The 15,771-nt window shown below is 42.4% G+C and overlaps 1 annotated feature.

Moving 5' to 3' along the window:
- Positions 2,933–3,282: a silencer, noted in NCBI's record as "silent region_4300". NCBI's record gives its function as "represses an Ori minimal core promoter by ATAC-STARR-seq in GM12878 lymphoblastoid cells {active_cell/tissue: GM12878}" and the evidence as "EXISTENCE:reporter gene assay evidence [ECO:0000049][PMID:35858748]".

The following is a 15,771-nucleotide window of genomic DNA, read 5'->3' as shown; positions in this document are numbered from 1 at the left end:
GAGTAAATAGGCTCTGACAGAGGACCTGAGGGTTTGTTCTACAAGTAAGTTGTGTGAATTTGTAGAATCTGTGACCTTTTTTATTTCCTTTAACTTCCAGATAGATTCTCAGCTTTTTTATTTCCTTTAACTTCCAGATTCTCAGCGATGCTTCTTATGCAAATGCCTTCAAGATTACTTATGCAAATGCCTTCAAATACGTTATATATTTTGCCATCATTTTATTACATAAAAATAAAAGCAACTTGCTAATGGTTTTAGCCCACAACTAACCACAAAATAAACAAATTTGCATGTCAGGAATAAGTTATTTGATTAGATGAACACCTCTCTCTAGTTGCTAAGAATAGGGGAGGGAGGGCCACTAGTGAAACTGACTCAGCATTTTGATTTAAGGATGACTCTGGCTCCTGCTTCTAGTATGTAACCTCCCCTGCCTCTGGGTATTGGACTTCTTGGGCAGCCGGCAGAATGCAAAAGTATTCTGGGGAACTGGCAGGATGGGTGTGTAGGTCCAGATGCTGCCTCTGAATTTAGACACACCCATGGTGAGAGGTTTCAGACTCCTCATCGATTACAGCATATTCCTTTTCTTCTTGAGTTTATGGATTCAATAAATGGTGTGGGGATTCAGATATTTGTTTTGCTTGCTGTATGTGAGGTGCCATGGTAAGTGCTAGAGAATCAAAGATTAACCTCTGAAGATCTCAGAGTCTAGTGTGGGTGATAGACCTATACTAAAATAAATTACATTGCAACACAGTAAGTGTTATCCAGGGATGGATACACTGCTGTGGTGGGGGTGGGAGCTACTAATTACATCCAAGTGAGGAGGCCTAGGTGAGAAGTAGCTGGGTTTTACAGAAGGAACGGCAGCACAATAAGGGCATGAGGCCATCTCCAAAGAGAAGGTTCTGGCCGACCCTGCTCCCGTGCTAAGCTGCACTACACTTTATTTACGTTTTTATAGTAAAATTTTCTTTATTTAGAGATGACATTATCAGGTACATAAATCATAGGGAATCAATCTACCAAAAAAAAATCCTACTAGAACAAATACAAGAATTTAGAAAAGCTACAGAAGAAAACATCAATAAACAAATATACATTGTATTTTTATACACTAGCAATGAACAACTGGAAATTAAACTTTAAAAAGTGCCATTTACAATAAGCTGCAGTACAGTTTAATTGGCTATATTTGACTTGAGGTCTAAGCAAGGATTTCCTAACTTGCCAGTCTCTTTAGAGCGTGACTGCTATGCTGGCTCTCACCAAAATCGCCTCCTGAGGATTTGAACCATGGGCTGGGACTAGGGAGTCACGATATTTCCTGCTGCGAAGTGAGATATGATAGTATTCAGAGCATGATCATATCTCATGTGGTAGGGGAACGAAAGCAGTACCTCATGAGCAGCTCTTTGTCTCACCTCCTCCATCTATCTGTTTTACAAAAGAAACTAATGGTGACTTCTTTCCCTTCGAGTAAGGGAGTGAGAGAGACTGAGCAGTTCTAGAGGGAAACATGGCATCCTAAGGCCTGATTTTCAAAAACCTTTGGGAGGAAGCTGAGGCAAAGAACTAGTCCAAGGTCATAGAGCTCAGTAAGAGAACCAGGATTTTTGGTTCTGAGTCTAGTGCTCTTTATACTTTTATGCCATAGTTTTAGTAATGGGGAGGGACAGGCTAAGGTTTTCTCATGGAATGAGTTGAGCTAGCCCATGTGCGATCCTCAAAGGCAGAGTATACTTGCTGGTGGAGAAGGAAAGATTATCACCATAATAATCTTGCTAAATTATGGCATAGAGCATGCAATAATTTTGAGAGAGATGAAATTCTAGGGAAATAATTTTCAAAGTCTCCTACAAATAACCATACTATTCCATCATCCACTCACTTTGGAGACATCCAGAAATGTGCCTTTCCTAGTTTGGAAGTCTCCACATAACGGTGGGCTTTCTGCCCCTCTATACCTGTGTGGTCCTGGTTGTGCCCTAGAGGTTCTCTATAACAGAAGGGATCTAGGACCAAAATAACCTATGAAGCTGGTCAGAGAGAACCTCTAGAATCCAGCAAGCTGGAGAGAGGGCCATGTGCTACAGTTTTTATATAGAGTATTTTTAGGGCACTGTGAACTTTAGCTAAGGTTTCAATTTTGGAGCCTTTTCCATATGGGTGTGCACACAGAATATTATGTGCTGCACAACAGAGATATTGAGTATCTGCCAGATAGTTTAATACATGTTGCTTCCATATGCGGCCTTGCGGCTTCCTCACTGTGATTCGAAAATTAGCTGTAACAGGGGGACTTCAGTCTGACCCAACTCCTGGCGACCTGTAACTCAGAGCAACCAGAAAAACCCTTATAGTATTATAAAGACACAGGATTCTAAGACACCTTAAGCAGGACTTAGTTTTCAAATACATATTATCTTGAACAAGGCTTATCTATCTGCCTAGCCATATCGTGGTTGTGTAAACCGCGTATGACCAGAGAGGCACCTGACTGCAGGCACCCCCGAAGGCCTCTGCAGACCCAAGTGGGCGCGATAATGGATCGATTTCTGAACTGTGCCTGCTAAGATCCTCATTTTAAAACTAGTAAACCAACCCTTGCTCCTTGAATCACCGTTTGAGCGCTGCATGGGGGGTTGGAGGGAAAGGAGGGGGGAATAATGTCATCAGCCTTGAGCTCTTCAAGGGGCTCTAGGATTGGAGAGAGAGGAAAAGCATTCTTAGGTTGCCTAGCGATAAAGCTGCAGATGATATCATTCTCCCCGAGGCCGGCCTCCCCGCCTGGTTTTCCTTCCTCCCTTCCCTGCTCCAGTCTCCCACGCCTGGGTTCAAAGTACAGCCGCGCGGGGTTAGGGAACCGGGGCCGGACGCGGCGCTGTCACGTGTGCCCGCACATGTCTGGGCGCACGCTGAGCAGCACGTGAGAGGGGGCCGGGGAGGGGCGGGGCCTGCTCGCCGTCCTACGCGCGTGCGCGTCCACAGTTCTCCAGACGCTGGCCCCGGGGCGCTGGCGGGCGGCGGGATGGGGGACCGTGGGGCCGAGGGCGGAGCCGAGGCGGCCGGGCCCGGGCGCGCTCTCCCGACAGCTGCACCACACCCTTCCCGGCTGCGTCTCCGCGGGCCAGCCCTGGGTAGTCATCCCTCCCGAATTAAAGCTGGCTCTGACTCGGGACTCCTCAAACCATTCTGACACAGCAGTTTCCGAGCGGCCCTCCTGGGCGCGGGTTACGCGAAGGTCGACACCCGCCTCAGAAGGGCCTTGGGGCGGGAACTCCGGTCTAGAGCGGGCCGCGGCCGGGCGGGACCTCAGCAGGTCCAGGCCCCGGGCCAGGACTTGCGGGGAAAACCCCAGGTGGTGGGTGGGGGTGGGGAGAAAGTGCCAGAGGAGAGTTCTGGGCAAACGAGGTGTCGCAGTACCGGCTGTCTGAGGCATTACATCTTTTCACTGGGCTCACGTGGAGTTTTGCAAATTGAATTCCCACTAATTAAGTACTAGGCGATTTGTTTAATTGTGATGAAATACACTGGGACTTTCCGTTCAAGGTGTAAAGTAAGAGAAGTGATTTTATGGCACGAACGGATTTTGCATGGTGCAGTAAAATGAAGGAAACTAATGTAGCCAGGGGCCGGGGGATGGATTTGTTGTTTTTTTTTTGTTTGTTTGTTTGGTTGGGTTTTTTTTGGTAAATTACCATCTAGTTATTTACAAACCCCTTTTGGGCAAATTGGTCATCTAACACTTTCACTCTTGGAAGTGACCACGTTGATTTTGTAACACTTTCTGAAACATGCCTGTTTATAAACAGCCTAAAATGAACAATTACTTTGGAGTAATTTGGAGTTCATGGTGTCTTTTAGATAACTGAGTATACCCAAGGGTGTTGCAAAAGTAGAGAAGTACCACTACCCTCTGCAAATATGGCTTTGGTCATGTGATGGAAAAAGATCTCAGACGTTGCCAGAAATATCTGGACAGGTCAGGTGCCAGTATTTGCTAAGACATTACAGAATGGTTGTAATCTCTCCAGTCTAAATGGCACAGTGAGTGCCACCCTGGAGACAGGCTGCTGGAAGCTAACAGACATTAACAAAGCACAAGGCATCCTTTGTTTGTTGTTTGTCTGTTAATGATATGTATGCATAATGTCCTATAGGTTGAGTTTCAATTGCACTTCCTCCCCGCGGCCCCCCACCACGTTAGACCGTTTGCACGAGACAGTTTAGTCATTAATATTCTGAAAGGTTGAAAAAGCAAAGATAAACTTCAAACATTCACTCAAATATATATTGAGCTTCTATATGTGCCAGGCGTTGGAGATACAGCAGCGATCATACAGGCAAGTTCATCACCGCTCGTGATGTTTACGACTCCTAGCAAAGTCTCAAAGCTTCCCAGGCATTTGCCAACACAATGATTATTTACGACAATTAGTCATCCTCTCCCTCAGCATGAAATTTTTTCAGTTGGCCCTTAGGAAGAATGTCAGGTGAAAGGGCTGGATCTCTAATCCTATCAATTCCTACTCACGGTCTCCTCTTTCTTCTCCCCTTTCCTCACTCCTTTCATACTAGCCTCCCTGCTGGTCTTCCAGCAGGACAGGCTTGATTCTTTACCAGAATGTTTGCATTTTTTCCTTCTTCTGCCTGCAAGACTGGGTCCCCAGATATCTGGAAAGCCAATTCCGTCACCTTTTCTCTCCATGTTTTGTAAGTCTCTTTTCAAATACCGTTCTTTAGAAAGGCCTTCCCCGAGCAACCCATAGGCAATGTATAAAATGCTTCCTCCCCACCAACATCATCCTTTATTTTTACTGTTTTGTTTTTCTAAATAGCAGGTATCACCTGTCATTACAACGATGTACTGTGTGTGTATACACACTCATAATCTGTTTATTGCTTGTCCACCTCACTAGGATAAGCAGGGACTTAGTTTGGTTCGTTGCTTTGTGCAATGCAAGAATGGTGTCTGGCAATAAATAAGTAAATAAACATGGCCTTTTGTAAATAAATATGTATGACTCTCAATAAATATTTTCTGGATGAATGAACATTTCTAGCAACTAGTTCAGTTTGATCGCCTCCAAAGATAACAGCGCACAACTTTTCAAAGCATCACATTGCGTGTTACGAACCCATGTCCTCCACTCTTACTGAACACCTATGTCCCAGGCACTGTGTGATCCAAAGAATAAACTACATAGAGAAGTCAGCAAGTGGTAAGGAGGCAAAGGCAGTGAACATCTTATACCTGCAAGTGGGAAAAGATTCAGCCTGATTCGGAAGCTTATTGGAAACAGTGATGAAGCATTAATGGAGTTCCCTTAACAATAGAGTTAATTCAATTTCACCTTAGTCCAAATGATTGCAAGTTACCATGTCTAAAAAATTGCTCATCTAGAGAAGTTCCTTCTGTAAAATTGAAAATTAAAGGAGATTTTGATCATTTGATCCCTTTAGTCAGCAAGAATAGCTGTAATAGCCCTGTAGAGGAAGAAATGAGTTTCAAAACTTGCAAGGTAGGTTGTATCTCACCTCTTAGATGGCCCCAACCCCTGTGTGGAAACAGACCCTCAGAATGTGACCCATGATGGAATGTACAACACATGAGACTAAGGCTTGACAGTCTCAGCTGCTTCAGCTCTAGGCTGGCTCTACCAGGTGTGGTCATCTTTGTCCCTTAATCAATGAGCTTCTTCAAAGCAAGGCTCAGTATTTATTTGTGTAATCTCAGCACCTAGCACAATGCCTGGCACACAGTAAGTACTCAATAAATGACTATTGAAATCCAAACCCGCCTTTCCATTCCCACAGTGACTATTCAAACCCTTATCAACTCTCACCTGGACTGTTGCAAGAGCCTACTTAACGGCCTTTGTCCAATCTCCCTTTCCCCAAGCATTGAACACACAGCCAGCACAATTAACTTTGTTTCTTTTTTTTTCCCCCAAGATGGAGTCTTGCTCAGTCCCACAGAGCTGGAGTGCAGTGGCACGATCTCGGCTCACTGCAACCTCCGCCTCCCGGGTTCAAGGGTTCAAGCAATTCCTCCTGCCTCAGCCTCCCGAGTAGCTGGGATTACAGGCGCTGCCACCATGCCCAGCTAATTTTTGTATTTTTAGTAGAGACAGGGTTTCACCATGTTGGGCAGACTGGTCTCGAACTTCTGACCTTGTGGTCCATTCGCCTTGGCCTCCCAAAGTGCTGGGATTACAGACGTGAGCCACCGCGCCCAGTCAATTAACTTTCTAAACACAGAAGGTATACTAAAGCATAGTATACTTCATACAGTCATGAAGAATGTGTGAAGGCTTAAACCTTCCCTTCTGGTTTCACTCTCTTCCATTTCCTTCCTTGTCCTGTTTTCCCCCACCGAAAGATGAGCATCTAATGGCCTAGTTGCACGGAACTACTGCAAGTTCCCTGAATATGCTTTGCACTCTCAAATGTTTGTCTTTAGGTAGATTAACTTACATTTGGATACCTCCTACTCATCCTTCAAAACTCAGCTCAAATTGCACCTCCTCTGTGAAAACTTCCATAACTATTTTAGTCAAAACTTAACCTCACCCACTTCTTTACTCTTAGCCCTTTCTTTAAATCTCCATTTTGATGTTTAACATCTTATTCCACAAACGTGCATGTACAAGAAGTGATGGATATTCTTATTTTCTCTCATTAAGTCTGACTTCACGCTACTTCCCCAAGGGCTGTTGGAAAATGATCTCAGTCATTGTGGACTCTCCTGTCCCCCTCCCCTCCCCAAACTCTCTAGGATTTTCACAAGGACTCGGGATTTCAGGAACCAGGGGAAGGACCCCTTCTTTCTCAGACTGCCCTAGATAATTGTCAGTGTCAGAGCCTGCTGTTTGGTATCCTTGCCTTCTCTGTCACTTTCTAGGTAGGAGTCTTTGCTGATGCTGGAAGTCCTAGGCCTTTGGGGCATTGTGTCCCTATTCCCCTCCTGGGCTTTGCCACGCCCAAGGAGCTGCACACCTGTGCCCCACTGCTTATTGCTTCTGCCTCCACTCCTTCCCCCTAACATAATTTCCAGCTTTATTTAGAGAGGGCTGCAGAGACCAGGCAGCTAACCTGAATGAATGGTATTGGCAGAGAAAATGGTAGGGACCAGAGTGAACTGGAGGTTGCGCCTCCTTTAAAAGGGACAGACATTACTCAGCTCCAAGCAATTGCAGCCTGGTGAAAACGTAGGCCCAGTATTGCGAGATCATCCAATTTTTCCAGGAAAAGCTGAAATCTAGATTTTATGTGAAATCTACTTTCAAAATGTTGGCAATTATTTTTGAAAACTTCAAAACACTATTCATTACAAATGAAATCTATCTGTTAAAGTATTATTCAATCTGGAGAAGGCTGCTTTGAGACCTCTGCTATAAAAAAGAAAAAAATAAAGGGCCTGGTAGGAGGTTTGCTTCAAAACTCCCCTGATGTAACTAGCCCCAGAGCCATTCTTGAAAATGGTTGAGGGGGGAAATGCAAGGAGAACAGACAGAGAGTAACGTCTCAGTAAATCATCCTGTCACATTGAGACTCTTCACATTGTATTGTAATTAATTGTGTATGTCTCCAGCACCTGGACGCCCTAACAGTCCTGTCAGGCAGATTGGCACCACCTCCAGCCTTCGCTTGGCCTGCACTGCTGTCTGTCAGACTGTTTACTTGTTCTTAGCTCCTTCTCGAATTTCCTTATGACCCTCCCAGACCTCTCTCTCCCACTTACCCAAGACCTCGGCTTATTTCCAGACTCCTCTCTCTCAGGAAAACCCCTATTTCACCAAGAAAATTCTGCCAATGGTCATGCTTTCCCCAGCTTTCAGCCCTCCCTGCTTTCCTCCTCCCGTGTCCTCACTTTCCTTCCAGCTGCAGAGGAAATGTGACCCTCCTCCTGCTCAAAGCCAAGGCTTCCACTTGTGCCGTTGGTGATGCATTGAAACTACCTGTTAAAACTTCCCTATCCGCCGCATGTAACAAGTCTGGACCTCTGTTAAGAGAGATCTGTTGTTCATTCATCATCGCATTCCTGGAGTCTAGTACGCTGCCTGGGACAGGGAAGAGGCTCAATAAACATTTATTGAATAAATACCTTTTTAAAAACTCTGGAGGCTGGGCCAGTCCTTAAACTTTCTAGAGACACGAGACAACTGTTGAAACCTGAGTTTTCATAGGTTATTGATCTCGAGAGGGTAGTTCCCCTGACTCTGTGCATGGGCTAAATTTGGAGGAGATAATCCAGGAGGGAATGTAGCTGGCAGGCCAGGGAGTTTCTCCTGGGTCAGGTTGGTGCCATCCAGCTGTGAGTTTGCTGTATGAAACCTCCTGTCTGTCTTCTCTGGTTACTGCTGGTGAGGCTGGCATTCTGGTACTTGCTGAGGGGAGCAAAGGGGAGCCTCCATGACCAAGGTGTCACATTGCTCTCTGTCCTCTTGGGTTTTTACCCCATTAAGACACCACTACTCCATTAAAAGATTATTTTGGGGGAAAAGACAGATAAGCTCCAAGCCCTCTTACTCCTTGTATGTTTTCTCTTCTTTTTACTTCTAACTTAAACTTTTTTTTTATGTTTGATGATATCTTAACATCCATATAAATCATCTGATTATTTTTATCTTTAATCCTACTCTCATGAAGGATTAAAGTATCTCATGTCCTATTTTAAATCTTACCTTATTACCCTGTTGGCTTTCAACCTTTACTTACTTAGAATATCTGCTTTAAATTATTTCATAACTGACCTCATTTTTAACTTTGACCTTAGTTATTTTAACCTTCTAATTTTCTTTTTAAATTTATCTTCTTGCTCCAACCTTTATTCCATTTATCTTATAGCTCATACTTCTGTTTTATTAGGGCTTTTAAAAATAGTTTTCTTGGTTTAAAATTTGGCTTGTTACTCGTTTAAAATTTTTTATTCTTATTTCTTAATTTACAGCTTTTACTTGGTTTAAAGTATTCTAGCATCATTTAGCATCACATTCTAATCTTTTATTTTTTCTTCCTCTCTTTTTTGGCACCATAACTTTTTTTTTAACCCTTTTCTCTTATTTACAAGTCTGTCATTCAACCTAGCTCAAATAATGACTTGTAAGAAGCCCATTGAATACAGGAATCTTCTTTGCCCTTGCCCTTCTTTCTGCCAGTCACCACTATAACTAAATTTTTTTTGCATTAATGTTGCTTTTTGCCACAGCATTCTATGCAGTCTTTATTTTTACATTGTCTGGTTTAAAATCCATAGTCTTTAATTTTTTTTGGTTGCAAAGAACAAACCCATTTGATTGTAACAAATGCATAAATAAGGAAACCAGAATCTCAGTCACTAGGTAGGCCAGGCATCCTGTCAATCCTATGAAAAGTCCTCAGGAAGAGCTGAAAGTCTTGTGGAGTTAGGCCTCACAGGCACAAGAACAAAAAAGGGTTCAGAGGCAAATGCAATATCAATGTGGGAATCGTTATTTTATGGCTTAACACATGTAACCTAACTATATCTGAATTTCAAAGATAAGAAGAAAATCATATTAACATCCAAGGAAAAAGAAGCAAGCCACTCAAGAGGGAAACAATGGCCATGTTCAGGTATCCCCAGATTCCTCCAAAGCAATTCTTATTACAGAAGGCAGAGGAGCAGGATTTATACCATTGCTACTCAAAAGTGTGGTCCATGAACCAGCAGCATTGGCATCGCCTGTGAGCTTATTAGAAATGCAGAATCTCAGTTGCCATTCCAGATCTACTGAATCAGAATCTGCATTTTGACCAGATGCAAAGATGATTCCAATGGACCAAAGCACATTAAAATTTGAAATGCACCAGCCTATATAGTTGTGAGAGAAAGAAAAAAGTGATGCATTTTTTAAAAAAATCCAAGGAGTTCCTTTAGTATAAAGGCAACAAACCAACATTCTCAAATCAACCCTGTGTTTTTGAACTTCACTTGCAACTTTCTTTGGTTTTTCTTTGCCCCACTAAGAGAGCCTGTTTGTGTAATTTATTTGAGATTGGAGATATTCATTTGCATATTAGACTCACTAGAGGAATTTTTTTTTAAAATACTGTTGCATGGATCTTACCCTCAGAGAACCTGACTGAATTGGTCTGGGATGATGCCCAAAAGTCAGTAGTTTTTCAAAAGTTTTCAAGTTCATTACGATATGTGGCCAAGGTGATAATCATGGAACCAAGGGAGACCAAATCCACGAAGCTTTCTTGAAAAAAGTTACTGAAAGATGGACACCAGACAATAAAGAAAGGAATCAAAATACAGTACTCAGAAAGGAAGGAGCTGTGGTAAGCAGTAATAAGTGAGTCAATTTAAAAAAACTACAACTAAATAACTGGGAATTTTTGTTAAAGAATATCACAACTGGGGCTTTAGATGGCAAATATGCTGTTCTCTACCCCCTACATTTCTATTTATGTTTGGTGCACCCTTACTAAATCTGTTATTCTCTGAGTTTTACGTCATCAGTTCTCTGGGTTTCAAACCAATGACTCTTGGGCCACATCCCTCATTTTACGCACCTTATCACTGGCAGGTTTTCCCTTGGCTAGGAAACTGGACAGTGGAAATGGTGACTTTGCCTGTCTGCTCTCAAACCGGGCTTCTGAAAGGGAGCCAGAAATATGGGCTGGGGGAAGGCTAGGGAAAGCCTAGTGCAATTATATTGGAAGTAGAGGTATTAGTATGAACTCATAATTTTATTTCTGTAACCTGCACAGCTCCCATCTCCCTGGGACCTTGCCTTGCAGATTCTGGCACTTCAGCTGCCCCAACCTCTGATCTCTTCCTCCTCAGTTCAGAGGGACTGCTGTGCTCTGCGTGCATTCTGGATCACTACTCTGCAGTTAGGAAAATTTCCCCAGGCAGGGAGCCAGGCTCATCATGACGTTCACCTCTTAGGTTTCCCTGCCTTCAGGGATTGATTGCAGTCTTGCATTGCCTACTCTGCCTCGTATTGCTTGTTCGCCAATGTCTGAAAACACTTGCCTTTGATATTTCATCCAGTTTTACAGTTAAGGCAAGAGGACTAGTCCCAGATACTCCATCAGAGACAGAAGTGGAAGTGCTGGTCTCTATATTGGATAATAGCATTATATTAATATTAAATTTCCTGAAATTGGTCATTGTACTATGAAGATGAAAGAATTGCTTGTTCTTAGGGTATACATGATGAAGTATATGGGACAAAAGGTTATGATGTCTTCAATTTACTCTCAAATGTTTCAGTTCAAATAGTCATATGAATAGCAATAATATGTATATTTGTAGAGGGAGCAGGAGAGATCTTGATAAACCACATATGGAAAATGTTATCAGTGGTGAATCTAGATGAAGTGTATATGGGAATTCATTGTAGGATTTTTGTAACTTTTCTGTAAGTTAAAAAAAATTTTTTCAAATAAGGAATAAATAAAGCATCCCCTTCAGTGTGGACTGGACTTAATGATTCATTTCTAAAGATTAGAGTAGGGAAAAAAATAGTAACTTTACGGTGGAGAAAGTTGACAGACACCACCTTAAACAAGTGATATTAACCAAGTGATCATGGTTAATATCACTAGTGATAAGTCAGGTGGATATCATGTACCCATTTATATTAAGTGATGCAAGGGCATGTCACCTCTGTGATTTTCTCACTCACAATTTATAACCCAAATTGGCCAGGTGCTGTGGCTCACGCCTGTAATCCCAGCACTTTGAGAGGCCAAGGCGGGCGGATCACTTGAGGTCAGGAGTTCGAGACCAGCCTGGCCAACGTCGTGAAACCCCATCTTTACTAAAAATACAAAAATTAGCTGGGCGTGATGGTGAGCACCTGTAATCCCAGCTACTCAGGAGGCTGAGGCAGGAGAATCACTTGAACCCGGGAGGCAGAGGTTGCAGTGAGCCAAGATCGCGCCACTTCACTCCATCCTGGGTGACAGAACAAGACTCTGTCTCAAAAAACAAAAAAAAATTATAGCCCAAATTAAAAACTGAGTGTCCTTAATATACCTTTCCTTAGATACCCTTTAAAACTGGGTACATATTAGCCATTTCATTTTCTTTCTACCTACATAAGACGCATCCATCTCTAGAGAAATGAGGATATGTGTTTATGAATTTTATTTCAATTTTAGAGTCCAGAGAAATTTATGACATTTTTATAATACAGTGATTTTTTTAAATGTGTAGTCCCATTTTAATACCAATGTCAGTGTTACTAAATAAATGCCATTCATAACATTTAAAGAAGGAAGAAGAACTCCACATATCTGGCTTTGAAGGTGGAGGCCGGGGGCCAGCACTAAGGAATGCAGGAAGTCTCCAGAAGCCAGGAGCAGCCTTCAGCTGACAGCAAGGAAACAGGGACCTCCGTCCTACAAGGGAGCCTCCCCTAGAGCCCTTAGAAGGGAACACAGACTGTCCTCTTCGATTTTAGAATCATCTTGATTTTAGTTTGATATGACTCACTTTGACTCTCTGACCTACAGAATTATAAGAAAATGAATCTGTATTGTCTTATGCCACATGAAGTGTATATGGGAATTCACCCTATATATACTAAGCCAGTAAGTTGTGATTGTTATGGCTGCAATAAAAAATGAATACACTAGGCCTCACTGAGATAGTAGGAAAGTCTTGAAGGAGGTGAGAAAGGGGGCCATGAGGAAATCAGGGGGAAGAGTGTGCCAGGCACAGAGAACAGCAAGTGCAAAGGCCCTTGCTAGGAGCATGCACAGCACAACCAAGGGACAGTCAGGAGGCCAGTGTGCCTATGATAGAGTGAGCAAGGAATAGATTTTAGGAGAAGACATCAGCATAGGAGGATTTGCCTTCTCTGTTGTGAAATCGGACTGATTGCACTTCCTACCCAAGCTGGGAGGAGGAGAACCACCTTGCCCTTTATCTGATTGAGAAATTAGGTGCTCAGCCCTAAATCCTGTCCCCCACTGCCCAACTCCGTTCACTCGAATGGTAGTTTTGAAGCATCCTCATTTGTTTGGCTACTTCACCAATAAGGCCAACTCTTATATAGTTGGCCCTACCAGCCATCTCCAAATCACCCATTTCCAGGACATGGTTATCAGACCTGATGAGGTGGCTTGCTGTGGCTCTGCCCACTTTGAAGGTCAGCATGGCCATACTCCTTTATAAACAGTAATCTTTCTTATACCTGCCTCTCGGAGATTAGGATTCCTTTCCTGAAAGTTGGTTACAAGAGCCCCGATGTGCTGGTTTTTCTCATAGGATTTAGCATCAACCTGCAAAACATATGGAATTTTCAATATTCAACTCTTCACATTGTGGTTTTAGGCGTTTTATCTTTCTGGCTTTGGAGAATAGATATTTTGGCAGATGTAAAGGTGATTGGCTGTCTCTACATCTGTCAAGCTCCAAAGCACTGTTACCAAGCATCAGAGACCATATTTCAGGGAATATTTTCCTTCTATTTTAACTGAGTCTGTGATAAACTGGATGTGATTTGCCTTAATATTGACAGTTTCTGCCCAAAGCACATGTGATTGGTTTGGGTTGAATGACCGCCACCCTTTCTCTCATGATGGGAGAATATGTGCTCTCCAGCTTGTACAGAGAACAAAGTAATTGAACCAGAATAGGATGAAAAGAATGTCTCCTTATTTCTATTTTTGTATTCTCCTGAAAGTCCCCAAGTTGAATACTTCTGATGTATTTACATTTATTGTTCCTGTTCTTGAAATTGATGTAGGGTGGGCATTGGGTCCTGGCTAATTATTAATTTAAGTACCCCCAGTACCTACCACCGTGTCTAGCATCCAGTAAATATTTTTAAAATTAATTCACTCAACCATCCCCTCATAAAATGAACAGCCTTTCTACATTTTTTATGTCTCTAATATTGGAAATTGGTAACATTTGGTGGCATTGACCATTTATTATGTACCCGATAAAAGCATTCCATTATCCTTTAATTCATTGGTTGAAAATAGTTTGGAGGAAGTGTTAGCTCATGAGAATAATATACTCTTAATTTATTAAACATTTATAGTAAATTAACAGAAAAACTTAAACAAAATTTAAAAGTGAGCCCAAAGGGATGAATTGATGAAACATTTTATCATGTTTTATAACTGAAAATACAGTCTCCTAGATAGATACATTCAGTACCCTGTGGGTGAGGAGATGTGGTAAAATGGGTGTGAAGTAACTGATCTCAGTAACACTCCTCTTTCTTTAGTAACTGAGGCCTCCGTGTGACTGCAGACATCAACCGAGTGCTCATAGCTTCCTCGTGATGCCTGGCCAGTGTTATGATACTAGGCAACCCAGTGTCTCAGGACCAACAGCGGAATAAACTTTGGCAGAGATCTATACGAGTTATTTCCTTTCTTACACTGCACAATTTCCTAGACATTCAGCCACCCTCTCATCATCAGACCTGCTGAAATCCATAATAAGCAACAGGCTATTAGATAAAAATAGTGGAATAAAACTGCAAATAACATTCTCCCCAAAATGCAGAGATGTCTGTCCTCCGGGAATATTTTATTCAGCTCTGGCGGCTATAGCGAAATACCATAAACTGGATGGCTTAAACAACGAATACTTATTTTTCACAGTTCCAGAGTTTGGAAGTCCAAAATGAGAGTGTCAGCTGGCTGGGGTTCTTCGTGAAGGCCCTCTTCCAGTTGCAGACAGCTGACTTCTCACTGTATCCTCATATGGCAATAAGAGGGTTCACTAGCTCTCTGGGGCTTCTTATCAGAGCACGAATCCCATTCATGAGGGTTCTACCCTTATGACCTTATTAGCTCCCAAAGGACCCACGTCCAAATACCATCACATTGGGGATTTGATTTCAATATATGAATTTGGGGGTAGGGGGCACAAACATTCAGTCTATAACATAAAGGATGGAAGATTCTCATCCTGTGATCTCCTCTTTGGACCAGTAGTATTTGCTTATTAAACCTGGACGGATTTCCAAGTGCAGCTAAGTACACTTGACATGTTAATTTAAGGATATTGCTTAAATCCAATTGTGCTATCTCCAATATTCATCTTCAACAGAGAAGACATATCTAGGTTATACAAATCCTACATGTCATCTAGAGAAAGGTAATGTATCCAGAATGTACAAATTGCAAGTTATCATCAGATAATTGTCTGGGCAGACAAAGCAAAGGCAAAAAACAGCTAAGGTCCTGACCACAGAACTCTGCTCTCTTAAGCTTTGTGCTCAGCATAACTCACCCCATTCTGCTTGAGTGTTCCTCTTGTAAATTCTGCTTAGATTCAAAAGACCAGGGGTTCAAATCCTGGCTCTACCACCTAATTGCATAAACATGGGAAAACCACTTATACATCTTTTTGTCTGTTTCCTTATCTATAGAATGGGGATGGTGATAAGATAAGGTCCACCTTACAGCATGCTGGGGTTCTGAGCTCGTTGAATGTTAAAGTCCTAAACAAACATTAGTTGTAATTGGTTCCTAGAGGGCAATCTCATCGACAGCATGAAATCAGAAATGAGACAGCTTCGCTCATGAGTCTCACTCATCAGCTTTGTGACATTAAGCAACTTACTTCTCAAAATTTATGTTTCGTCATCTGTAAAGAGGATGATTTTAATGAGAGTAGCATCTCTGTAGGACAGTTACAAGCATTAAATGACATAATCTAAGACCTCCTGCATGTCTTTTTGGGGGAGTTCAGTGGTCATGCAATACACTATGGAGAGACTAGAAGGAAGGCAGACAGGTGCAGTTTCCATTTGG

The sequence above is a fragment of the Homo sapiens genome, chromosome 12 (assembly GCF_000001405.40).
Source record: "Homo sapiens chromosome 12, GRCh38.p14 Primary Assembly".
Taxonomy (NCBI): domain Eukaryota; kingdom Metazoa; phylum Chordata; class Mammalia; order Primates; family Hominidae; genus Homo; species Homo sapiens.
This window is presented reverse-complemented; position numbering and strand designations above follow the sequence as displayed.